Source organism: Homo sapiens, chromosome 6 (assembly GCF_000001405.40).
Source record: "Homo sapiens chromosome 6, GRCh38.p14 Primary Assembly".
NCBI classification, from domain to species: Eukaryota; Metazoa; Chordata; class Mammalia; order Primates; family Hominidae; genus Homo; species Homo sapiens.
This window is the reverse complement of record NC_000006.12, coordinates 145517424-145545219: the sequence shown is the minus strand read 5'-3', so window position 1 is coordinate 145545219 and position 27796 is coordinate 145517424. Positions and strand designations below refer to the sequence as shown.

Sequence of the window (27796 nt, the reverse complement as noted above, 5' to 3'; positions counted from 1 at the left end):
GTTGTAAGCCACTGAGATTTCACTGCAGCTCTTTCTAAGTAATAAGAGTGAATGTAAGGAGGAAAATTAGTGGTCTAGGAAGAAGATAATGGTGGACTGGATTATGATAATGGTAGAGGTGATAGAAAGAACTGCATAGACTTCAGAGATACTTAGGCTTCACAAGTGATAATGTAGAAGATTTATTGAATGTGGAGGTAAGGGAAAAGGCAATGCCAAGATGGTATTTTAACCAAAGATCCTAGCAATGTTGTTCAACCTTATGATTCTAAACACAACTGAATATGCTTAAAGCTTTCAAGTGATACATGTCATTTTGTCTGTGATTATGAAGATTGTTATTTTGGTGAAAAAAGTTAGTCAGGGGTCCTACCCTGGGAACCCACACAGGAAAAGAGCCAAGCTGCTGAGCATCTACTATTTCTCTCCAAAAAAAGCAATACTAGTCCAGGCTTCAGAAGACCTGTTGCCGGTGGGCTGATCTGAGCAAAAGCCACTCCTTTTGAAGTGATTCATCATCCTACATCCTGCTATGGCTTCAAGGTTGCCACAGATATACCAGTTTCTGCTGTTAAAAAGCACTAAACCTATCACTTTTATTAGGAAGAAAAAAAAACCAATTTATAATATTTTAGTACAGGATGTTTGTCAGGCTTTCTGCCTAACGCACACTTTGTGACTGAACTTGGATCCTGAACTTGATAACCTGTACTCTCCCCACACAATTTACCAATTAGTTCTGGGTAATTCTGATTGCTGGCTATTTTGCTTTTTCCAAGGAAGCAGTGAACTATGTTCTGTCCAATGTTACTGAGCTGAGAGCAGCATGGTTTTTATTAATAGAGTGAACAAATAAATGTCAGCAGCCCAGTTATTGAGAAAATGGGGTTGCAAACTGCAAAAAATTCACAAACCCAGGTGGAGTCTGACTCACTCTTTCACTGACTTTGTCCTCTGCCAGCAGCCAATGCGGCTTAGCAATCTGTGAGCAGCAAGCTTGCTGTGGCCTTTCTGATGGAGGTTAGGGAATCAGACCCACTTCTGACTCATTCATCAGACAATTCAGCCTGTTCAGTTTGATTTTCTGGGTTCTGCCTGCTGAATTTTCCTCTGCCAGACTTAACTCTAGCTTAATAATTTGTCCATTTTCTTTCAGCAGAGCTCAGTCACCATGAGACTGACCAGAAGCTTTACTTTTTCTCATCAATTTTTGTCACCAAAATTAGGAAGATTAATTATAGCTAATTGTTAAATAAATGTCTTCAGAAGTTGGTAAAGTTGAGAAATACAACATCCCATTTTGGCTCCCCACGTTCAATGTTCCTTTAAGATTTCCAAGTGAGCCACTAACAAGTCCCAAACTGTACTGGAGTGTACATCCATCTTTTTCCTTTCACAGTTCTTGGAAATCTAGGGGGAAAATGGCCCAGTGGAGAGAAAGGACATGACAAAGACCAATGTAATGAGTGGTCTGGAAAATCTACAATCCATGTAATCAATACAGTCAATGTCTTAGTATTCAGGAGTTGCCTGGAATATATTCTTAATATCCACATTTCTCCCATATCCTGAAGAAACCCCTTCTTTGATGAAAAACTAAATATAAAACAAATACTTTTTTTTCTTTAAATTATTAAAGACCCTGTTTTGATAGAAAAAGCAGGTGATTTGGAACCAGTAAACTTTATTTTTTTTTCTAGTTCTACCAAAATTAATTGTATGGCCTTGGGCAAGTCGTTTAATGTTTCTGAGCTGCAGAATTCTCATCTGGAAAATGAGAAGGTTTTTTGGGTGACTTCCATCAAGACCTTTTTTGACAAGAGGCTATGTTCTCCATTCTATGGTTTGGCGTTGACACTGGCCTAGATTTATTATTTTTATAATGCTATTTTTGCTTGTGTAGACACCTTTCTGGATTCACTAATCATTCTTTGAACTGATGGTAATTTATTTTGACTGTATTGATTACTGTAAGTGCCATTCATTCTTCGTGATTAAGAAAAAAAAAGAGCATCCTTTGCTTCTATTCTGTTTATATCTTTTTTAAGGCCATATTGCTCATCTTTTTAATCTCATAAATCTAATATAGCAATGAGAATTGGTGAGAAATGCAAACATAATGAACAAAACAAAATACAAAAACGAAAGGAAGCTGGCTGTGTGCAGTGGCTCACACCTGTAATCTGTAATCCCAGCACTTTGGGAGGCTGAGGTTGGTGGATCACCTGAGGTCAAGATTTCGAGACCCACCTGACCAACATGGAGAAACCCCGTCTCTACTAAAAATACAACAATTAGCTGGGAGTAGTGGCAAGTGCCTGTAATCCCAGCTACGCGGGAGGCTGAGACAAGAGAATCACTTGAACCCAGGAGGCAGAGGTTGCGGTGAGCCGAGATTGCACCATTGTACTCCAGCCTGGGCAACAAGAGTGAGACTCCTTCTCAAAAACAAAACAAAACAAAACCAAAAACAGAAAAAAACAGAAGGAAGCAAACAAACTAACAAAAAATAAAGCCAAGTATCATAGACTAAAGAATCCAAAACAACATTTGACTGTCCAGAGGGGACTAACAAGGGTCCCTGGCTTCAATTACCTACCAAATGACATCAGGTGAATATGCTCTAATTGGCTTTATGAAAAGTATTTCATTCCCTGACTATTTTTGGCTTTCAGTAAAATGTCTTTGCCTCAGCAGTTGACTTTGTTATATTCCAACATCTTCTCATACTATTTTCACCTGCATATGTTTTTTAAGCTGCCCCTTTCCTGGACATCTTGAAGGACACTTCAGTCAGAATTGAAGATGACTTTGTATAGCCCCCAATCCAGGATGCATGACTGTTCACTCATCGCTGAAATCCACTTGTCCACCAGGAAAAGGCAAGCTGTGTCAGCATGCCATAACTTTCTTTTTGAAGAGGAAGAAGAGATGAATCTGTCCAGTTGTTATGGCAAAGGGAATTTAGAAAGGTGGATGCAAGCATCCCACATGAAATTTGGGAAGCAGAGAAAAAAGATGGCCTTCTGATCTTTAACAGTGCTTTTCATGGTGAAGAAATATTCAGAAGCTTTAGTGCCTATATGCTCGTGAAGACATAGACTTTTGACTTTCTAACTCAATGTTTTCCTTTCAGTTATGTTTTATATTGTAGTCTGATAATGTTTTCTACTAATTGCACATTGGTCTCCAATTCCTTTCAAACAATTCTATGCTTTATTTGAGAAGCCTTGCCTCTTTTTTTTTTAAGCATCATCTCCTCATATGTAAAAGTGAGGTTTTAAAAAAAAGGTAAGAAAAATTATCCAAAAATCGACATATTACTTGGAAATGTATAATGTTCTGCTATATAATTTTCTGTGCCTTTCAAGGTACAGAAATCAATCAGAGTTCTATGTCATTTGGGCGGATTCCTGTGCACAAGAATTTTTCATAATATATCAAAATTAAAGATACTCATGTTAATTTGTCTCATATCTGCCTCTGGAGGATCCTCATCATTTTATGGCCATCATTGCAAGTATATTCTTCATTCTGCTTCATTCAGTCATTAAAAACATCTCTTTAGTATCCACAATATGACAGATAACCGTGCCAATGCTGAGAATACAAAGATGAAAATTCAGGAATTCTTGACTCGTTTTGACACCTTCAATTGGCAACTTTGGAAGCATTTGTTGAAAATGAGGTAATGTACTTACAAAATCATTAATTTTTTTAAAGTTGAACAACATAGATTGTTTACATACAAATTTGCTTTGAGAAAATTTCAGCTTGCTGGGTAAAAATAACCCAAAGTATTTTCATTTATTTAAATGGCTTACCATTAATGATTTATTCCAATATAGAACACCGATCATATATATATATATACACACACACATATATATACACATATATATGTATATACACACACACACAAATTGGTGTTTTTTATATATATACACACACATATATAATTATATATGTATGTATGTTATATAATTATATATTTACACATATACTTGGTACACACACACACACACACACACACACACACACAGATATATATATTCCCAAATAGTTAAAAAGTTATTTTTAGTTCTTGATTAAACTGTTTTCATACATGCTTTTTTCTGGGTCACAAGACATCTGCTCACATCTTTAAAATTAGGGGGAAAATGGAATGCGTGCATGTATGTGTGTGCATGTGTGTATGTTAAAGAGTATTGCATCCTCACATACAATTGAAAAGGCTGCCAGTTCTGCCAGTTATAGGCCAAAATTTATATTTGGCTTTGAATTACTCATTCATTTTGTGATGAATCAGAGATGAGAACAGATTTAGCATAATTATAGTTACTCAATATTTTAATACATCCTTTTAAATGGAAATGGAAGGTAATTTCTATCATATACACCTGTCCTCTAAGTAATTTAAATTTTGAAGTGATTTTAGGACTCTGAATTTACCACGCCCCTAGTTTTTGATCTTTTTCATTTTTGTAAAATGTTTGAAATTTGTTTTCTGAAATGCGTCTTTACTAGTAAAAGACAAATTTCCCTAAAAAGCAAAGTATTTTATTCTTTACTTATCACTGAGTTCAGTTCAAACTTGACCAGAAGTCTAGGATTGGAGATTCATGCTTTGGTTCAGAGCTGAAAATGTGCAACGGTAAGATCCTTTCCTGCTCTAGGATTCTAACATACATATGAGAATCCCTGGTGTCATGAAAAAAATTTGTTGAGGTTGTTATTGGGTTAGCGATTCACACCAAGTAACAGGGGAAGGGAGGTGAGTAGTGCTGAGGGGAAGCAAAGATAACTTCTTCAGAACCAAGTATGGGGTCTTCTTCCCTCTCAGGGGTTAAAGTAATTTTGGCTCAACCCAAGCTGAGATCTGAGAATTCAGAACTCTTTCACAGCATCAGTAACTTCCAATGTATTCTTTCCTTGTAGTTTCCTTTCAGTTTTTTTCCACCAGTGTTTTAAAGTTCAGTTTATTAATAGAAAGTTTGAGATACAGCAAGGGCAACAGATCAGGAGACAATTGTCATTGAAAAGATAGTTTGTTGCTCACTGTTCTCAAGAGGAGGGGGCATGGTGCCATGGGGGCCACAGGAGAAGCACCAGGGTCAGGCTGGAGGCAGACACGGCGGGGGTCACTTTAGGCAAGAGCCTTTATTGTGGTTTCTGCTGGAAGAAACAGCCAAGGCAGGATAAAATGGTGAAGGATTGTCTAGTTTGAATAATTCCAGGCTCTGAGTCATAGTAGCTGTTTCGAGTTGCCTAATCCCTGGCCCTGGGATGTTTAAGGTGGGTGGATAGTGGCCCAGAGCCTGACAAGAAAGGTAGTTTGGAGGTGTGGACCATGGATTGTTTGGTCCTTTGAAAGGTGTACTTAGGGGTGAATTGTTTACTATCCCTAGGAATTGGCTAACCCTGGGAGAGGTAGCCCTTCAGGATCAGCAAGACCCCATACATCAAAGCATCAAAATACGGAAAACAAAAAGTCATGGTTAATACAATTAAGTTTGACTTTTTATCTTGTTTCTTCTTTGGACTGGGACCAAAACTATAGTCCCTTCATCAATTTTCATATAAGTTCCAATCACAGTGAGAGTTTTGGTAGTTTAGGCTTGAAGTGTTTTGGAAAGACATAAGGAATTATAAACAATGATGGACATTCTCTCCTTTTCTGTCTTTCTCTAGCTCTGTTCTCCCTCTCCAGTGCAACCAACAAATTCTCCTCCTTATCGCTGGCAGGGCAAATCCTTACATTTAGGCCCTCCAAGGTCATAGCTTCTACTACAGCTAGGAGTTTCAAGTAATTTTTTGAGCATTGGTGGATCTCTTCTCTGTACAATGAATGCTACTGTCAACTTCTAAAAAATAAAAATCCCCTACCTTATTACATATAAACAGGTACTGATAAGATGCCTGGAGGAGAACTAAAGATAACAAAAGAAAAAAGTGATTTTAAATTAACCACAAAGTTGAAGTGACAGTGGGGAATATGGCACTGTTGTATCCTTAGTGACAGTTTTGGCAGCAGCATTGATAAACATGCCATGATTTTGCTCCCTGAGGCATGATGTGATCTGTGTTTGTGTAGAAGGAATTTATTATATATGCTTGTATTATCATAATGCAGTGTATGTTATCATTTGGTGATGGTATGAAGGAAAGTTTGCTAGCTAATATGGAAAGGGCTCTCGTATGTACAAAACTGTGCCTGGCCTCTGAGGGTTGAGCTGTCTCTGTAACTCCATACTACATGTGCTCTTAAGCAAGGATTTCTGGTACATGGAACAAAAGCTGTGCAATGTATTTACTGTGTTCCCTTGAGCTTTTATGAGTCTCAGACACTTCATCTGTGAAATGGAAATAATGTATGTGCCATATGATTGTGTGAATTACTCCAAAGAATGTATTTAAAAGTGTTTAGCTAGAGTTTAGTACTGTATATGGCTACCATTCACTGGCTAAACCTAGGGTCAATTGTAAACTAAATCTTAGCATAAAAACAATTTTATTTATCCCAGATGAATTATCTGGTTCAATACTTGTTACAATACTTACACATTCTGAAAACAAAAGAAATTATACAATTTACTTGTTTAGTATATGTTGGCCTGTGCCTTTGTCAGCTATTAACTCTGAGCTCAGCTGGAAAGGCGATCAAGCCTACTCCACTTCATGAAACCAGAATTGCTGATTGCTGTTCAAGCTTTGTCATTGATAAGTGATGCTCTAAGAAGCAAGAGGGAGAGATTGGATGGAGAGTGTGACAGTAAGGAGCTCTTGATGAAGAGCTGCCTGAGTATTCTCTTATTTACATTCAAACAAATCCAAAATCTATTTGCTCAGGCATGTTGATTTCCATAGCTCTTATTTCCAAGTTCTTCTTATTTCCAAGTTATTACTAAACATGTATTAAGTTCCCACAGTGCATGAACTCAAAGCATGTAAAAAAAAAAAGGCCTCTTCTGTGGAGAAATAGTAATGCTTTTACACTGTTGGTGGGAGCATAAATTAGTTCAACCATTGTGGAAGACAGTGTGGTGATTCCTCAAGGATCTAGAACCAGAAATACCATTTGACCCAGCAATCCCATTACTGGGTAAATATACCCAAAGGATTATAAATCATTCTTCTATAAAGACACATGCAGACATATATTTATTGCAGCACTATTTACAATAGCAAAGACTTGGAACCAACCCAAATGCCCATCAATGATAGACTGGATAAAGAAAATGTGGCACATATATACCATGGAATACTATGCAGCCATAAAAAACAATGAGATCATATCCTTTGCAGGGACATGGATGAAGCTGGAAGCCATCAGTCTCAGCAAACTAACACAGGAACAGAAAACCAAACACTGCATGTTCTCACTCATAAGTGGGAGTTGAACAATGAGAACATATGGACAGAAAGAGGGCAACAACACACACTGGGGCCTGTCGGGGGGTGGGGAGTGAGGGGAGCGAGAGCATTAGAACAAATACCTAATGCATGCTGGGCTTAAAACCTAGATTACAGGTTGATAGGTGCAGCAAAACACCAGGACACATGTATACCTATGTAACGTACATGCACATTCTACACATGTATCCTGGAACTTAAAGTTAAAAAAAAAAAAAAAAAAAACCTCTTGTAGGACAACATCTGCCTTCAGGTCCATCTTTATATTTTAACCCAAAGCTTAGGATAACCAAGAAGTATATAACAATAAAAGAAGTAGCTAAAGGAATACTTCTAGGCCATTTCCTAGTGTTTCTGCATTATAAAAATAAGTTATGTCTAATGAGTATAATTATCAGAGTATTTGTGTCTAATCACCGTAGTCAGGATGTGAGACAGGCTGGAAAGCACAGGGTTAAATAGCCACCCTAACCCATGTTCTATTGGTTTCGAGAGATTGAATATACAAATTGACAATGGAGAGACCATATATAAAAAGGAAACTTTGACCCACAACTTGTAGCAACCTATCCAGGAAACCAACTCCTTATCTACCATATACAACCCAGGAAACTAGCCTCCTATAAATCAGACTTGTAGAGAGTTAAACTGCTATCTCTAGTAACAATCCAGGATGCCAAACAATAATTCCTGTAACAGTTGGCCCCAAATGGCCAGAATTTGATTAATAGCTGATGGCTTCCCTAATTTTTGTTCTCATATCTAACTTAGGACCAACCAGACAAAGCCAAAAATGTACCCCTAGCCAATCACATAGGATGCCCCACTTCTCATGAGCCCACCTACAGCTTTCCCATGCCAACAACCTACAATCAGGGCACACCTGAAGCCTCCTCTTTTTTCCACGATAAAGCTTTCCCACTCCTCTGTCTGCCTTTTAGTCACTGCCAAAATTCAAGTGATGGTGGCTGAGCCCCTTGCTATAGCAAGCTCTGAATAAATAGCCTTTACTTTTCTCATTTGGTTAGTTTTCATTTATTTCCACAGTTCCAAGAAGGACAAAGGGGCTGAGTGTGGATGACTGCACAAATCCTTGCCCACTCTCAGGGGAGAGCTCAGTGACCACCAAGGTTGGCCAATGTGTCTGCTTCATAAGTGGACAGCCCAGGTTTGTGTGAATGAGTGAGTGAACATAAAAACCTGGGGAAGGGGCCAGGTGCAGTGGCTCACACCTGTAATCCCAGCACTTTTGGAGGCCGAGGCGGGTGGATCACTTGAGGTCAAGAGTTCGAGACCAACCTGACCAGCATGGTGAGACCCCGTCTCTACTAAAAAATACAAAAATTAGCCGGGTGTGGTGGCACAGGCCTGTAATGCCAGCTACTCAGGAGGCTGAGGCAGGAGACTTGCTTCAACCTGGGAGCTGGAGGTTGCAGTTAGCCAAGATTGCACACCTATACTCCAGCCTGGGTGACAGAGTGAGACTCCATCTCAAAAAACAAACAAACAAACAAAACCAAAAACCAAAACAAAAACAAAAACAAAAACAAAAACAAAAAACCAACCTGGGGAAGGGAGACAATCAAACTATCAAACTTCTTATCCTAGAAATGAACTGAGAGAGTCTGGGTAAAGAAATGGCAAAAACAAAACAGAGTAAGCCCCTCCAAAAGGACTCTTAGGAATAAAGTTGGAAAGCCAATAGGCTACAAAGAACCACAAAATACATACTGAGCGATACTTTCAACTGTTCATTGTGCTGCTGTGAAACATCAAAACATTACTGACTTTAGCAATTTTATGATAATATTTTTCTAACTTTTAAACTGCTTTTGACATAGTGTTGAAGTTCATTTAAAAGGATTTTTTCCCCTACCTTAAACACATCAAAGCAGGGCTTCAGGCAGAGGAATGACTCAGGGAGTTCCACTCCTGTGAAAGTCAATTTGGAAAAGGTAAATTCACAAAGTGAAAGTGAACTTACCAAGAGCATTATCAGAAGAAGCAAACACCAATTGAAACTATAAACAACAGAGCATTTTTACTTAATTTAATTTACCCAAAATTACTATAGACATGACACAATTGTGATTAAGAACTTCTAACTGTAGAATGGATCTACTTTACCTCACTGATTTTTAGTGCTAATTGAGCTATTTTTCTTACTTTATTGTTCCTTATTTGCTTATTATTGGCTCTGACAGTCAGTGCTGCAAAGCTGGGGTCTGCACTTCCCAGTCAAGCTCCTCGCTGGGTCTTCTGGAAGCTGGAGGTGCCTGCTCACCCACCTACTGTGGTGGTTCTCAACCGTGGCAGCTCATCAGAACCTCTGGGAGAGCTTTAAAAAAATACCTACAATCAGATCCCACCTCAAACCAATTAAATTATAACCTTTCAATGTATTTTAAAAAATAACTCCCCAGGTGATTGCAATGTGCAGAGTGTTGAAAAACACTGTCCTGGAAGAAGCAAGATTTCCTTGACAGTAAGTGTCACCTTGAATTGTATTCACTTTGTTTGAGGGTTGTCAGAATTTAATAAAGCAACTTTTAGTTTGTCCATTTTAAAGCGATGGTTACACAGATGTTACAAATGGACTCTCTGGAGCCTTGCCTGGCTTGTTTAATGCTGCGTGTCTCATGATCCAAGGGTGCGGCTGTTGACTGGCTTGGAGTAATGGGGCAATGGAAGAAAGATTCATCTATTCTTTTTCTGTTGTTTGAATTTTCAATATGAAAGTAATAAATTACCTGGGAAGGAGATAAAAAGATGAAGAGCGATCATATGTCAAATTGGTTGTGTGAAGTGGCTGATAATGACACAATATCATGTGCCTGCTCTGTTAGTGAAGCATTCTTTCAACATTGCCGGTGATCATCTAAAGTACACTGGACCTAGAGGTGAGGTGGTACCTAAACAAGCTTTAGGTAACCTGACTTGATGACATGGAAACTGAACTTATTGTGCCTTTTAGTCTCAGAGTCAGATGCAGATATATCACCAAATGACGCTTTATGAGGGATGTAGTTTCCTAGATTTCACAAGATCACAAATGAGGTACAATTTATTTCAAAATAGAGCAAATCAGAACTGCATTACTAGACTTTTAAAAAGCTTCACTCACTGGGCAGTTAAGGGAGGAGAGCTAGTGCATCTGCTCCGTCACCAAAAGTGAGCCAATTTCCTGCAGCTGCAGAGGACCTGGCCCCCGTGCTTGCATTGACTGAACCTTTCATTGCATAGATACATGTGGACTCCTAAGAGGTGCATAACTTAGAAAAGGCTTTGTGTTCCTGATTTACTTTGAATATGTTTTTGTAAAAATGACTGCTTTCAATTATCTCTTAATTCCTCCCCCTCCTTTAAGTTGCTAGGCTAACTTCTGTAAAATGGGTATGGTTTTCTTTAGCATTTGCAGAGATATAAAACTTTCTGAATTGTCTTGAACTTCTTTTTGATCTAGGAGAAAGTTTCAAAATAATGTATACTCTCATTTTCACTCAAGGTAAATAAATGCCTCAAATATATTGTTTCATGCATGACCCCATTCAGAGCCAGGTGAAGTACGCTGAAGTACCCTGACAGCCTAAATTGTGCCCTTATTGCTTACCATTAACAGATGACTACTCTTGCAAGAGCACAAAGATTATCTGTGAGTAAATTCACTTCAACATTACCACTCCTTTCACCGAACAGCAGATTCTCAATTATATTTATTATTGGAATAAAGAGAATAAGTAAGTGAAACCATAACAAATTTTATAGTTTAATTTTAATTAATAAATCCAACAACTCCTCTTGACAAAGGCTTTCAGAACTATCTTTATTCATTCAGCAACCATTATGTGTTTCTCAAATCTCATACTGTGATCTAGTTGCTAGAGATACACCAATATACCAGGTAGCTCAAGATGCAATCTATCCTGAATCTTATGTTTTAGAGATAGAGAGAGAAACAATAAACAAGCATGCAAATATCATAAATTCAGAAAGAAATAAGTGATGTGCAGAAGACAAATGGTGGGCTTGACAGAAAGTGATTGGTGGGGGAGAGGTGGAGGGATCTACTGGGAAGGATGATTGGAGTTACTTTTCTGAGGAGGAGACATTTGAACTAACACCTGATATATGAAGTAGACCCAGTCATGCAAGAGGTTGAGGGTGGAGTACTGCAAGGGACAAATTCAAATTTTCCCCAAACAAGAATGAGCTCATGCATTTGAGATATTAAAGACACACTTTGTGTCTGGAGCATGGGGTAGGGGATGGAGGCAGAGAAGTAGGTGGGGCCAGATAGCATAGGGATTTTTAGTTCTTGGCAAAGAGCTGAAGTATTTTTCCAAAAGAAATGAAAAGGCATTGGAGGGCTTTAAAAAGGGGAGTAGCATATGATCTGCATTTTATGAGACTTACTTTGACTACTGGGTGGAGATTAGAGAAGAGTGGGGCAAAACTGGACACTGTAAGATGAGTTATGAGGCTATTGCAGGAGTCTAGGTGAAAGATGGCAATAGCTTGGGCTGTGGTAGTTACAGAGGAGAGGAAGGAAATGAACAAGGAAATAGAGTCAACAGGATTTGATGATGGATCAGAAATAGAGGGAGAAGAAACAAGAGAATCAACAATGACTCCTGATAGTCTTTTCCAAGACAAGAAAGAGTAAGAAAGAAACAGGTATTTTTTTGTTGTGTTTTGTTTTGTTGGGGGAGGTTTGCAAAAATCGTTAATTGTGTTAGACCTGTTAAGTTTGGGAAGCCTGTTAGACATCAATATGATCATGTCAGATAAGCAAATGAATATATAAGTTTGATGCTTAAGAGGGAGATTAAGGCTGAAAATATACATCTAGGGGTCATCAAGGGACAAATTGTACTTGAAGTAAGCGACTAACTAGATAGGTAGTCTAAAGGAGAGAATGTAGAGAGAAAGGAAGAGAGCTGGACTAGGTGTTCGCGAGGAAGTGCAGCCAGGAAACCTGAAAAGAGTGGCCAAGGTAGGGCAAAATATTTCAGTGGAAGGGACATCAGACAGATGGGAATGGGTTGAAGAATACAGGGAGGTGGAGTACGGGGGTCTGTCCCACAGACCCTGACCCAACAACAGATGAATCATGTACACTGACACAGATATTATGCTTGTCAGTCCAGCTGAGGGTCCGGGCCACTTACAGACTCCAAGGAGAGTGCTGTAAAGAGTTGCAGCCACGGCCCTGACTCACTGGCCCTGCTAGCATTTATTCAGCACACATTAAATGACAAAGACTTTGAGTCAACACCATTACAAGGTAATCAACCTGGTTGCCTCCCCCCACCCCCAGAGAGCCATCATGCCCGTGAATGATCAAAGGTTAGTTTTAGGACCACATGAGTAAATAAGTTATTTAGATAAACTCCTTTACATTCCTATGTATCTGCTCTAAGTTATTTACTCAAGGTAAGGATTAGGCTGCTTTCAACCATAACCCTATCCTGAGACTTTTGCAAAAACCTTCCAGCCTTTCAAGAAGATTTGTGTTTATATCCTATAACTTCATCTTAAAATTTTTCCCACCAGCCTGACTAAACTCCCACATCTCCCCCTTTTCTGTTTTTTCTGCAGTGGGTTCTGTTGACTAACATGTACAGATGTGGCAGCAACAGGTCTGTTAGGCGAGGCAGTCATTGTTCTTATTCCGGGTTTGCATCCTAGAATTAGCAAATAACATAAGACAATCATGAGTATAATTAGCAACATTCTTTTCCAGTCAAAGAGTGACCTGTAGTGTTACTTGGCACTTCAGTTTGATGTGTGCTGTTACTAAGGAACCCCACTGGGGGTATGTTAACCCCTTCCAGCCAAGCAGTCGCATTGTTAGAAGCTGGGAAGGGAGTGTCTGCCCAGATAACAGAGCTGAAAAAAGGCAGATTTAGAAGATGAGCTTAATAGAGTGTAACAGGTATAGGTAGCAGGCACAGTGAGAGAATAAAAAAGGGATAAATTATCTGGAGTGAATGGTGTCTGTGTCTGGAGTAGAATTTGCTGAGTCTTCTGACTTGTCTTCTTCAGCATAATGTCCGGGGCCTGTGTCACCTGAGGAAGCTGCATCATCCAGGGCTGTAGGTCCTGCAGGGTCAGTTCCTTCATTTATGGTACCGGGTTGGGTCTTAGCTATGCCATAGTATGGTGTGATGCATTGTGCTGGACTCTAAAGAGGATCTGAGGGCGTGTGGACACAAGCATATCCTCTTGCCCAAGTTAACAATTCATTTGAACCGCACCATACATTATTGTTTACATCTTTCCATAAAACTGCAGGTTTTATGTCTTAAGAGGTTTTAGCAAAGTGCTTTTCTACAGCTGATTGAAATTTGTCATCTGAATTTTAAAAATTAAGGGTAAATGAAGCTTGTGCCAATAGTGTTGCAGGGTCTTTACCCATAATCCCCCTTTCTGTGTTTTGAGCATATTTTTAAGAATGGAATGGGCACATTCTATTATGGCTTTTCCTTGGGGTTTATATTGGATGCCAACATTTATTCTGCACACATTAAATGACAAAGGCTTTGAGTCAACACCATTAGAGGGTAATCAACCTGGTTACCTTCCCTGCAGGGAGCCATCCTGCCCACAAATGATCAAAGAATTAGGCTGCTTTCAGCCAGAATCCTATCCTGAGACTTCTGCAAAAACCTTCCAGCCTTCCAAGAAGATTTGTGTTTATATCCTATAACTTCATCTTAAAATTTTTCCCACCATCCTGACGGAACTCCCATAGTGGAGACACCATATCTTTCTATGTTTTGCTGCAAAGGAGAGAAAGAAATGAGCAATTAGCTATAGAGAGGTGTGGGATCAAGGAAAGATTTAGTTATATACTTTTTACAGAGGAGCTACAAGAGCAAGCTTGTAAGTTGATGGTTATGGAGGTGAGTGGTGGGTCAATACTAGCATCAGACAGCAAAATCCAGAGGCTTGTTTGTAAAGCCTTCCTTGCCAACCCCTTCTAGAAGAATTAATTACTCCCTTGTCTCTATTTCCATAAGGTTTGCTTAATAATATTTATCACATTTTATTATGGTTAATTATGTAAATTTCTGCCTCCCAGGTGGATTGTAAACTCCTTGGGAGAGCAGGTATTCTTTACTGATTGTCAGCTATGGGCACATTACAGGTGTGATCTCAGTTACTCTTCACAATGGCTCTTTATGGGAGACATAATCCTCTTTGTTTTATAGATGAGGAAATTCAGGCTCAAAGAAACTGAGTAACTGGCACAATAATGTGGGTAGTAAGTTGAAAGCAGAGTAGAAATTCAAGCTCAGGTCTGCCTGTCTCTTAACAACAAGCTTTCCCTTGCTACATTTCTGTATCAATGGCTTCTGCTATGCACCCCCAGTGCCTAGTTAGCACAGTTCAGTATTAGGTGTGTACTAATTTGGAATTCAATAATGGTGAATGAAGTAAAACGAATGTAAATTCGTTAATAAACTTTAAAACCCTTAAATTCAATTACCCTCTCATCCCTCTGTTTTTGACTATAAATTCCATTTGTTGATCTAGAGGGAATAGCCCAGATTGTTCCAGCCACACTGGTCCCTCCACAGGCATCCCACTGTACTTCCTAATTAGGGGAAAGGCATAAACAGGGTGGCCTCTGTTGGAGGTGGTTGTGCTGATATCCTCAGCTACTGTAGCTCTGCTTCAGAACTGACTGGGCAGAGGAAGGAGCAGATGGAAGTTGAGAACCTTTGGCTAAGTAAGTGAAGTCAGAGAATTCGCTTTGTTTATTTTTTGAACCTCAAAGTGATGATCATTTTCTTTGGTGGTTTCCTTCTCAGGAGTCTCTTACCAAATTTATCACATAATGATAATAACCCCATGCAATTTGATTGCAAAAAAAATAGAAGATGGCATTTAGGAGCTTCAGTACTTACTTATTTCAGGCGTCATATACACTTGCTGCTTTGTTTCATGTAAATTTAATGTAGAAAAGCAATTTTCTCTGGTTACCGGGAAAGGAAGTTACTGAGCCTGGAGCCTAAGCTTGAATGGCCTGAGCAGTATCAATGCTGTGCAGTGTTTACCAAGTGCCTGCTCTGTGTTGCCAACCTTTTGCATGCACAGGCATACTTCAGAGATAATGTGGGTTTGGATCCAGGCCATCTCAAAAAAGCAAATATCACAAGAGAGTCACACACAGTTTTTGGTTTACCAGTGTGTAAAATGTTAGGGTTACACTATACTATATTCTATTAATGTGTAATAGCATTATGTCTAAAATGTACATATCTTTATTAAAATTCTTTATTTCTGAAAAATATAAATTATCACCTGAACCTTCAGAGAGTCATAACCTTTTTTGCTATGGAGGATCTTGCCTCAGTGTTGATGGTTGCTGAATAAGCAGGGTAGTGATTGCTGAAGGTGGGAGGGGCTATGGAAATTTCTTAAAATAAGACAATAGTGAAGTGTGACATATCAGTTAACTCTTCCTTTCATAAAAGATTTATCTGTATCATGTGATGTTGGTTGACAGCATTTTACCCAAAGCAGAACTTCTTTCAAAATTGGAGCTAATCTTTTCCACTCCTGCCACTGATTTATCAACTAAATTTATAAAATATTCTATATCTTTTCTTGTCATTTCAACAATGTTCATAGCATTTCCACCAGGAGTAGTCTCTATCTCAAGAAACTACTTTTTTTGCTTATCCATAAAAAGCAACTCCTCATTTGCTGAAGTTTGATCATGAGATTGCAGCAATTCAGTCACATCTTTAGGCTCCACGACTGACTCTAGTTATTTTCTTGTTTTCACCACATCTTCAGTGACTTCCTCCACTGACGATTTGAATCCATCAAAGTTATCCATGATGGTTGGAATTAACTTCTTCCAAATTCCTGTTATGTTGATATTTTCACCTCCTCTCCATGTATCATGAATGTTCTTCATGGCATCTAGAATGGTGAATCCTTTCTAGAAGGTTTTCAATTTACTTTCCCCAGACCCATCAGAGGAATCACCATTTAAGGCAACTATAGCTCTATGAGATGTATTTCTTAAAGAATATAACTTGAAAGTTAAAGTTACTCCTTGATCCATGGGCTCCAGAATAGATGTGTGTGCAGACATGAAAACCACATTAATAATCTTCTTGTATAGCTCCAGAGCTCTTGGGTGACCAGGTACATTGTCAATAATATTTGAAAAGAAATATATATTTTTTTCTTGAGCAGTAGGTCTCCACAGCAAGCATAAAATATTCAGTAAATCATGCTGTAAATAGATGTGCTGTCAGTCAAGCTTTGTTGTTCCATATATAGAACACAGGCAGAGAATTAACATAATTCTGAAGGGCTCTAACATTTTTGAAATGATAAATGAGCATTGTTTTCAATTCAAAATCACCAACTTCATTATCCTGTAGCAAGAGAGATAGGCTATTCTTTGAGATTTTGAAGCCAAGCATTGACCTGTCCTCTCCAGCTATGAAAGTTCTACATGGCTTCTTTTCCCAATATGAGGCTCTTCCTCTACATTGAAAATCTGTTGTTTAATGTAGCCACCTTCATCAGTTATCTTAATTAGTTCTTCTGGATAACTTGCTTTAGCTTCTTCATTAGCAGTTGCTGCTTCACCTTGCACTTTTGTGTTATGGGGATGGTTTCTTTCCTCAAACCACATGAAGCAACCTCTGCTAGCTTCAAACATTTTTTCCTGCAGCTTTCTCACCGCTTGCAGCCTTCATAGAATTAAATAGACAGTCTTGCTCTGGATTAGGCTTTAGTTTAAGGGAATGTTGTGGCTAGTTTGAAATTCTATTCAGACTTGTAAAACTTTTTCCATATAAGCCATAAAGACTGTTTCACTTTTTTTTTTGTTATTTGCGTGTTCCCTGGAGTAGCATTTTTAGTTTTCTTTAATAACTTTTTTTTTGCATTCACAACTTGGCTAACTAGCACAAGAGGCCTAACTTTCAGCATTTCTCAGCTTATGACATGCCTTTCTTACTAGGCGTAATCATTTGTGGCTTTTAATTTAAACTGAGAGACATGCCTAAACATCCCACTTAAACACATTGAGTGGCAAGTTGGATAAAACAAAACAAACAAAACAAAACCCATCCTTCTTCTGTCTTTAAGAGACCCATGTTATAAGTAATGACACCCATAGGCTCAAAGTAGAGGGATGGAGAAAAATTTATCACACACACACACATGAGCAGAGGATGCTATTCTTAAATAGCAACCAAAAGACTTTAAACCAACAACAGTGAAAAAGGAAGGGCATTATATAATGATAAAGGATTCAATTCAACAAGACTTAATTATTCTACATGTATATGCACCCAATGTTGGAGCGGGCAGATTCATAAAACAAGTACTTCTATACTTATGAAAATATGTAGAAAGCCACACAATAATAGAGGGGGGCTTCAACACCCCACTGACAGCATTTGACAGATCATTGAGGCAGAAAACCAATAAAGAAATTGTATACTTAAATTCACCATTTGACCAATTAAACTTAATAGACATTTACAGAACACTCCACCCATCAACCGCAGAATATACATTCTTCTCATCTGCACATGGAACGTACTCTAAGATTGACCACATCCTTGGTTATAAAGTAAGTCTTAATAATTTTTTTTTAAAAATCAAAATGATACCAAATATATTCTCAGAACACAGTGGAATAAAATAGAAATCAATATTCGGAAGATCTCTCAAAACCACATAAATACATGGAAATTAAACAACTTGCTCTTGAATGACTTTTGGGTAAACTATGAATTTAAGGCAGAAATCAAAAAATCATTTGAAGTAAATGAAAACAGAGATACAACACATCAAAATCCCTGGGATGCAGCAAAAGCAGTATTAAGAAAAAAAGTTGACAGCACGAAACACCTGCATCAAAAAGCAATAGAAATATCTCAAGTTACTAATCTAATATCACAACTAGAGGAGCTAGAAAAATAAGAACGAACGAACTCCAAAGCTAGCAGATGAAAAGAAAGAACTAAAATCAGGCAAAACTGAATGAAATTGAGAACCAAAAATGCATACAATTAAACCAAAAGTTGGTTCTTTGAAAGGATATACAAGGTTGACAGAGTGCCAGCTAGATTAACAAAGAAAAAAGAGAGAACTTTCAAATAAGCATAATCAGAAATGACAGATGACATTACAACCGATCCCATAGAAATACAGAAGTTCCTCAGAACCTATTACAAACTCCTCTGTGCAGACAAATTAGAAAATCTAGAAGAAATGGCAAATTCCCAGAAACAGACACCCACCCCAGACTGAATGGGGGAGAAATTGAAATCTTGAACAGATTAATATTAAGCTCTGAAAATGAATCAGTAATAATAATAAAAAAAATCTACCAACCAAAAAAAGCCCTGGACTAGATGGATTCACAACTGAATTCTACTAGACGTATAAAGAAGAGCTGGTATCAATTCTGCTGAAACTTCCAAAAAACTGAGGAGAAAAGACTTTTCTGCAACTTACTGTATGGAGCCATAATCACTCTGATACTCAAACCTGGGAAGGACCCAGGGAAAAGAAAACAGCCAATATCCCTGGTGAACATAGATGCCAAAATCCTCAACAAAATACTAGCAGACTGAATCCAGCAGCACATCAAAAAGCTAATTCAATATGATCAAGTAGGCTTTCTTCCTGGGATGCAAGGATGGTTCAGTATACACAAATCAATAAGTGTGATTCACCACATAAACAGAATTGAAAACAAAACCCATATGATCATCTCAATAGACAATGAAAAAACTTTCAATAAAATGCAACATCCCTTCATGATAAAGAACCTTCAACAAACTAAACATCAAAGGAACATAACTCAAAGTAATAAGAGTCATCTCTGACAAACTCACAGCCAATATCATACTTAATGGGCAAAATGTGGATACATTACCATTGAGAACACGATCAAGACAAGGATGATCTCTCTTACTACTCCTACTCATCATAGTATTAGAAGTCATAGCCAGAGCAATCAGGCAAGAGAAAGAAATGAAAGGTATCCAAATAGGAAATAAGTCAAATTATTTCTCCTCACGGAAAATATTATTCCATACCTAGAAAATCCTAAAAATTCCACCAAAAGTCTCCTAGAACTCATAAACAGCTATAGTAAAGTTTTAAGAAACAAAATCAATGTACACAAATCAGTAGCATTTCTATACGCCAATAGTGTTTAAGATGAGAGCCAAATCAACAATGCAATTCCATTTACCACAGCCACAAAAATATCTAGGAGTACATCTAATGAAAGAGTTAAAATATCTTTACAAGAATAACTACAAAACACTGCTGAAAGAAATCAAAGATGGCACAAGCAAATGGAAAAACATTCCATGCTCATGGATTGGAAGAACCAATATCATTAAAATGGACATACTGCCAAAGCAATCTACACAGTCAATGCTATTCCTATCAAACTACCAGTGTCATTCTTCAAAACATTAGAAAATACTGTTCTAAAACTCATTTGGAACCGAAAAAGACCCTGAATCGCCAAAGCAATACTAAGCAAAAAATAAATAAATAAATAAATAAATAAATAAATAAATAAATAAAATTGAAGGCATCACATTAACCCAGCTTCAAACTGTACTGTAAGGCTGCAGTAAACAATACAGCATGGTATTGGTACAAAAACAGGCACATAGATCAATGCAACAGAATACAGAACCCAGAAATAAAGCTGCATACGTACAGTCATCTGATCTTCAACAAAGTCAACAAAAATAAGCAATGGGGAAAAGATTCCCTATTCAATAAACTGTGCTGAGATAACTGGCTAGTCATATGCAGAAGAATGGAACTAGACCCTTAACTTTCACCATATACAAAAATTAACTCAACATGAATTAAATATTTAAATGTAAGACCTCAAATTGTAAGAATCTTAGAAGAAAAGCTAGAAAATACCATTCTGGACACCTGCCTTCAGAAAGAATTTATGACTAAATTATAAAAAACAACTGCAACAAAAACTAAAGTCAGCAAGTAGTGCCTAATTAAACTAAAGTACTTCTGCTCAGCAAAAGTAACTATCAATAGAGTAAACAGACAACCTACAGAATGAAAGAAAATATTCACAAACTGTGCATCTGAAAAAGATCTCATTTCGAGAATCTATAAGGAACTTAACAAGCAAAAAACAAGTAATCTCATTTAAAAATGGGCAAAGGATGTGAACAGACACTTCTCAAAAGAAGACATACAAGTGGCCAACAAACATATGAAAAAATGCTCCACATCACTAATAATAAGAGAAATGCAAATCAAAACTATAATGAGATGCCATCTCAAACCAATCAGAATGGCTGTCATAAAAAGGTGAAAAATGTTGGTGGGGCTGCAGAGATAAGGAAATGCTTATGCACTTTTGGTGGGAATGTAAATTCGTTCAGCCATTGTGGAGAGCAGTTTGGAGATTTCTCAAAGAACTTAAACCAGAACTACCATTGGACCCAGCAATCCCATTACTGGGTATATACCCAAAGGAAAAGTTATCATTCTACCAAAAGACACATACACTCATATGTTCATTGCAGCACTATCCACTATAGCAAAGATATTAACCTAGATGCCCATCAATGGTGGATTGAATAAAGAAAATATAGTACATACATGCAGTGGAATACTATGCAGCCACAAAAATGAAAAAATAATATCATTTGCAGCAACATGGGTGTAGCTGGAGGCCATTATCCTAAGTGAATTAATTCAGGATCAGAAAACCAAATAGCACATGTTCTCATTTGTAAATGGGAGCTAAGCATTGGGTTCACATGGAATAAAGTTGGGAACAGTAGATACTGAGGACTCCCTTCCACTAGAGGTGGGAGACAGAGATGGGGACAAGGGCTGAAAAACTACCTATTGGGTGTTATGCTCACTACCTGGGTCATAAGATCATTCGTATCCCAAACCTGACCACTACACAATATACCCATGTGACAAACCTGCACATGTGCCACCTGAACTGAATCTAAAGTGAATGTTGAAATTATGAAAAAAAAGGTGAGGGACATGGGACTCTTTCTTTCACTTGAACACTTAGAGGTCATTGTAGGATATTACTTGGCCTAATTTCAATATTATTGTGTTTCAGGGAATAGGAAGGCAGGAGAAGAGGGAGGGAGTTGAGAGAACAGTCAGTCTGTGAAGTAGTCAGAACACATGTATGTATGTCTTATGTTCACCATCTTATTTATATGGGTATGGTTCATGGTACCTCAAAACAATTAAAATATTAACATCAAAGATCACTGATCTCAGGTCATCATAACAGATATAATAATAGTGAACAAGTTTGGGATATTGTGAGAATGGTCAAGATATGACAGAGACATGGAGTGAGCACATGCTGTTGGAAAATGGTGCTGATAAACTTTCTAAATGCAGGGTTGAAACAAACCTTCAATTTGCAAAAATTCAGTATCTGCAAAACACAATAAAGCAAAATATGAAAGAATTGTCCTCCCCTTGAATTTTCATGTAATTGAGATCCCAGTATGTGAACCCATATCACTAAAACACTATAAATTGTAGAATTGCGTCAATCATTTATTTTGAAAATGCACATTGATTGCCTATTTTGTGCCCAGAGTATTAAGAACTATAGAAAGTTCAACTGAAAAAACAAAGTTCTGCCCACAAGAACTCACAGTCCAGAGAGAAAACACGCAAATTCAAAGTAAAATTTACAGTATGAAAATGTCTGAATATAGATAAGAATAGGATGCTTTGGTGACATATTGGTGCATATCTTAAACCTACAAACAACCCCTGAGAAGGCTTTTTGGAACAGAGCGTGCTTGAGTTGTCTTTGAAGTATGAGCAATTGTTAGCCAGATGAAGGAGGTGGGATAGGATGAGCATTCTTGGAAGAAAGAAAAGTAGAGACTCTACCTTTGCAAAGATAAAGAGTTATAAAAAAAGAGAGTGTCTTTGAGGAGTTTATTGTAGTTCAACATGGGTGATTGTGGTGTGCTGGTAATTAGCAAAAGGTGAGGGAGGAATAGTGCAAGCACAAGATAATAAGCAGCTATTCTGTTTCACTAAGGAGTGTGCATTTTATCCTGAAGCAATGTTCTAAGGGAATATGGAAAACAGGTTTAAGAATGAACAAAACCATAGCAAAGAGACTGAGAAATTGCCGTAATAATCAAATTTCAAGATTGTGAGGATATAAATTTTAGCCTGCAGGAGTGAAACTGGAGAAAGAGTACTGTTTAAAATATAGATTTAAGAGATTAAATCAATGGAGACTGTTAATTGTTTTAATGTTGTTGGTAAGGGAAGGAAAGAAGAGTCTAGTAAGTCCAGGTTTCTGCCTTAAGTGGATTGGATGAATGATGCCATTATCTGGGTCAGTTGATGGAGGGGGAATGGTTAGGGGAAAATGGTGAGTTAACCCCAGGACATGTTATATTTGAAGTACTTATTCCACATTCAAGTAGAGATGGCCAAAAGTTAGAGAGTACCTAAGCTGGATGTGTAGACAGAAAGTTATAAAAACATGCAATACTTGGCCAGGCGCGGTGGCTCATGCCTGTAATCCCAGCACTTTGGGAGGCTGAGGCAGGCGGATCACGAAGTCAGGAGATCGAGACCATCCTGGCTAACATGGTGAAACCCCGTCTCTTCTAAAAATACAAAAAAATGGCTGGGCGTGGTGATGGGTGCCTGTAGTCCCAGCTACTTGGGAGACTGAGGCAGGAGAATGGCGTGAACCCGGGAGGTGGAGCTTGCAGTGAGCTGAGATCGTGCCACTGCACTCCAGCCTGGGCGACAGAGGGAGACTCCGTCTCAAACAAAACAAACATGCAATACTTATACTTAGGGCCAAAATAGCTAATGTGGAAAGGATATAAAGACATGGATCTTTACCATTTTGTAGGTATTAAGTTCTTTGACAAACCTCATTAGTCACACAGTCATGCTGTAGACATTTTCATTATCAATACATCCAATCCCTGCAAGATCTTATTTTTATTCATCCTAATCTCCAACCACTACTTCCTATATTTCCAGCTCATTCCCTCTAGTATATTAACTCTGACAATTCCTCTACCCCTACTGGGACCAACAATCTAGAGTTTTTACCTTTTTCATCTACTGTCTTTTTACTATCCTTTGCCCCTTCAGGGCTCACAATCTCTGCTTGTGCACCTTAAATCCATGGTCAAATAATCTAATCATTTGTTGCCTCTTGCTTCATTATACTTACTTGATAAAGCAATAGCCCTAGTTAAGTTCAATCCTTCACCTATTATCTGTGCCTGCACCTGTTCAAATGATTGTGGCTAGAAAAGAATACACTACCATGGCAACTGGTCACATTTTTATATTTTTGACATTGGATTTCAATTTGGACTTTCAAGTATCGCCTGGTAATCAGGCAAGATTTCTTTATCTTTTATTATACTAGATGGCTATTTTATTAATATGTCTTCTTTTATGCTTTCAAAATCTCAATGCCTACCTTCCATTTCTTCCCCATTCTCAGGAGATGAACTTGCCTTTTATTTCACTGAGAAAATTGGAGAATTTACGTGAAAACTTCTATAGAATCCCTTCATTATACCTAACTCCCATCAGAATCCAGCACACATACCTTTCTTTCTTGTGTATTATTATGAGTAAAGTCTCCACACTCCTGTTGAAAGCATTCCAGATATATGCCAGATCTCCCAACCTCTTGCCTACTCAAGGACATTGCTGCTGCAATCTCTCCTTTTGCCTGTCTCATCAATTTTTTATTCTCTGATCAATCATTTCCATCAACACACAAGCTGGAATAATTCTCTATATTTAAAATTACTTTCTCTTTTACCATCACTTTTGCCCCTCTTAGGGAACTTGCTGTTCCCTCTAATTGACTTATTAAAAACATGGCAACTCTTCATGTCTTTTAAGTCTTTGATTAACCATTACATTCTTGATGAAGTCTTCCCTAACTACCCGTCCCTTAGCCATCCCAATCCTCCCCATGGCCCTTGTGGTCCCCTTTAATTTGTTCTATTTTTCCTGGAGTCCTTTAAAGATTTTATCATTTGCTTATTTATTGTGTTCATAGCTTATTGCCTAATATTATTTCACAAAGATCTTTGTGGCTTATTTTTAATGACTTATTTCCTTCATAAATATTTGTGAAAATGAACACTATTGAGTGAGAGAATACTTTGGCTAGGAAAAAATGCACGTGTACAAAATAACGTGTCTCTATTTCAGGAGGCTCCCTTACAAGCATATAAGCCTTATCTACAGAATCTGTGATAAGTATTCCAGGGAGAGATTAAGAGTAGCAGGCACCAGTGACTATGACGGAATTTTAGCAGTAGCTGGAAGAAGAGTACAGGAAGGAGAGAGATGAATCTAAGAGGTCCCACAGTGATGGAGATAAGGCTTTGTGAAGAGTGTCAGATGCTCAAAGAAAGCAAATGAGGTGAAGGCTGAAATTGTCTGTTGAGTACTGGAATTAGGAGACTACCCCTTACCTTGGTGGGGACAGCAGGCAGATGCAACAGGCAGAAAAGTGAATGGAAAAGAGAAAAAGTACAGTGATATTTTAAGATTTTAATTATGAGAAAAAGAAGTAGGAAAACATAATTGGAGAAGTTCTTTTGTTTTCACAAAAGATGGATGAGCCATGATTATATTTATACTCAGGAAAGAACTTTAAAGAGTCAATGGGGGATGTGGAATTTCAGAGTCTAAGAAGTCAGTGTAGTTTGGGGAAGGAAAACTAATCTTAAAGGATGGACAGTATTTGACTAAGGGAGGATTCAGTGTCAAAATATGAGGCAAAAAAATTTTGTATTATACTGGTTGAGGTCATGTCCTTTGGGATAGTTTTGTGATCCTCCTCTGCAATTTACTAAATTAGTGACGTTGGGAATGACCCTGGGCCTACATTTCTTCATCTTCAGAATGCGGCTAATGATAGGATTCTATGAGGATTGAATGAGATGGCTTTCTTTTCTAGATGTCAACTTGGAACCTACCTGCTCTTTAAGATCTGAGACTGGCAAATTGGCTTATTCCTTTGCGAGTTTTACAATCTTCAAAAGTCTGAAGGGTTTCTCGAAACCTCTGTCCACCTCCTGGAAACTTACATTCTGGGGTCACTGTGGCTCCCCTCTGTGGTGCGCTCCTTGGCTGCCTCTTCCCTGCATTCTAACATCCTCAGTGAAAACTTCTCTTTTTTCCTATACAGTCTTCAAAACATTTCTAATTTAAAAATGCAATTTAAAGGCTCGTGATTCAGTGATTTTTACTGAAAATTGGTAGGGAGAAGAGTGAAGTTGGAGGGGGGATTCCATTAGCAAAACCAACCCTGAAGGGAAAACATTAGCGGCTCTATTCTTGAACCATATCTCAGGGGCATTTAATCATCTCCAGGTCTGGGTTGCCCTCCATGTTGCTACTCCTCACTCTCTCATGCCTTTTCTCTACCATTCACTTTCTGGAGTTAAATATCCATGGTGCATCAAATAGAGAAGGTTTCTCCCTTCTCTGAAATCTGGAAGACACTAAAAATACAGAGTCCTAGTAGAGCTTTTTTTCCTAATCAACTATCAAGATATTTCTCCAAAGGAAGATGATTCTTCTAAGAGGAATTTAGGAGACAACTGCTTAAATAATAAAATTTTCTTCACCTTATGACATTTATAAAGTACTTGAGTAAGGAAATATAGCTATTATCCTTAAAAGGAAAATTAGCATTCAGTTCTCATGCAATGCTGGGCTCTGGCAGCAGAGTGTGGGAGATTTGGAACATTCCTCAAATCCATTTTTGCTATGGTTTTGGACTCAAACTTTACTCTTTCTCTCTCACTGCTTCTCCACCTTTCTGGCTCCCAACTCAGTCTCAACTTCTGTATGTCTGGTTGGCATCTCACAGTTGCACCATATATGTTTCCATAGAATGGCCATCCTCTAGGCTATGTCAGAGTTCTGGATTATTACTCTGGGGTTCTGGCTTTAGCTAATATGGTGTTTGATAGTAAGGGGCAGGAATAGAAGCGGGATTATTAATTTCTCTTTCCTCAGATTAAATATGTGACATTCTTAATCTTTTCTACTCAAAGCTAACTGTTGGCTAATTCCAGTCACAAAAAGCGATTAGTAGACTTACTATGTCAAAACCTCTTTGTTTTTTTTTTTTTTTTTTTTTTTTTTTTGGTGCATTTCACACAATCTGGAACTGATCCCTGGGTAAATGCCATTCTGATTCCATTAATGTTAAATTTCAAAGAGACAGGAAAGGGCAAAGCAAGAGCTGAAAGTAATTACAGAGAAGAGTGCACATCTGCTGTACTGGAGTGTCCATCTTGCTGCTGATGTTGAAATGGATTAATCCTTTCTCAGAATTGGCTGAGTGGCTTGAACAGTAGGCATGCTATTAAAGGATGAGATGAGTGCATTCTGGAATGAAGACTCAAATTAAGGTGCCCAAAATAAATCACCCCAAAAGCAAAGTGCATTTCTCTACTTCTCTGAAATCAAACTTTTCTCGCTGAGAACATAAAACAGCAATCTTTATCCTAACCAAAAACTTCTAGTGTAAGTAACTGGGGTATTGAGAAAATGATGTATGGTTCATTATATGTAGGCAAGTAAACACATTCGCCTTCATGCTTAGGCCACTTTCCAGAAATAAGCTGTGCTTTTAAGGCAATTTAACAAGTTCTTCAGCCCTTTGGAGAAACATTGCATTAGTGTTAGAGTTTATAGGCTTTATGGCTACATGGTGATAACAGGAGGCAAAACTTTTAAGTGGTTATCAATTGGCGTGGCCTTAGGAATCTCTTCACTGAAGGATAAAATTTTTTTTTCTGGAAATAAAGTGTTCAGATTTTTATTTTTGTGTTTTTTAGATCCAGTAATAGAAGTCTAATCACGGTAATGTAGCACGTGATATTATTGGAGCTACCACTTAATTGAGTTCATGATAATTCACCATAATTCCAGAAGACCCATATTTCTGTTCAAATAGGGCCTGAAAAATGTTAATGTGCATCTTTAAGTGCCTGCCTGGCTCCTGGGGATAATATGCTATGCACTTAGTGCTTCATTGTTCCCTTCGCAGACACTGCTGAACTGAGCATATTAAAGATATTGCCTACCAATCATATAAATTAGGTAGTCTTTTATAATGACAGAAGTAATGTATGTCTATTGCTATTTAAATAGTTCTTACATTATGCCTTTCGAAGCTCTTCTGCCTGTGATAATGGGTCATATGAAAGTAATAACATCTTGGGAAAAGTCACATCTGAGCAACTCTGTTTATAATAACGTGTGATGCTCTTTGGGAAGCCCCCAAGCATGGGGCTACCTTAGGTATTCATTG

The 27796-nt window shown here is 38.0% G+C and overlaps 1 protein-coding gene across 2 annotated transcripts in view, besides 4 other annotated features; it reads left to right on the top strand.

The window, feature by feature from the left end:
• The window catches only part of EPM2A (EPM2A glucan phosphatase, laforin), a 352671-nt gene that overhangs the window by 190804 nt on the left and 134071 nt on the right, over positions 1–27796 (top strand). The window lies entirely within an intron of this gene.
• Positions 12324–12899: an enhancer, noted in NCBI's record as "OCT4-NANOG hESC enhancer chr6:145853457-145854032 (GRCh37/hg19 assembly coordinates)". NCBI's record gives its function as "activates a minimal SCP1, AML or CMV promoter by ChIP-STARR-seq in naive H9 embryonic stem cells {active_cell/tissue: H9 hESC(naive)}" and the evidence as "EXISTENCE:reporter gene assay evidence [ECO:0000049][PMID:30033119]".
• Positions 12900–13475: an enhancer, noted in NCBI's record as "OCT4-NANOG hESC enhancer chr6:145852881-145853456 (GRCh37/hg19 assembly coordinates)". NCBI's record gives its function as "activates a minimal SCP1, AML or CMV promoter by ChIP-STARR-seq in naive H9 embryonic stem cells {active_cell/tissue: H9 hESC(naive)}" and the evidence as "EXISTENCE:reporter gene assay evidence [ECO:0000049][PMID:30033119]".
• Positions 13489–14152: an enhancer, noted in NCBI's record as "OCT4-NANOG hESC enhancer chr6:145852204-145852867 (GRCh37/hg19 assembly coordinates)". NCBI's record gives its function as "activates a minimal SCP1, AML or CMV promoter by ChIP-STARR-seq in naive and primed H9 embryonic stem cells {active_cell/tissue: H9 hESC(naive and primed)}" and the evidence as "EXISTENCE:reporter gene assay evidence [ECO:0000049][PMID:30033119]".
• Positions 14153–14817: an enhancer, noted in NCBI's record as "OCT4-NANOG hESC enhancer chr6:145851539-145852203 (GRCh37/hg19 assembly coordinates)". NCBI's record gives its function as "activates a minimal SCP1, AML or CMV promoter by ChIP-STARR-seq in naive H9 embryonic stem cells {active_cell/tissue: H9 hESC(naive)}" and the evidence as "EXISTENCE:reporter gene assay evidence [ECO:0000049][PMID:30033119]".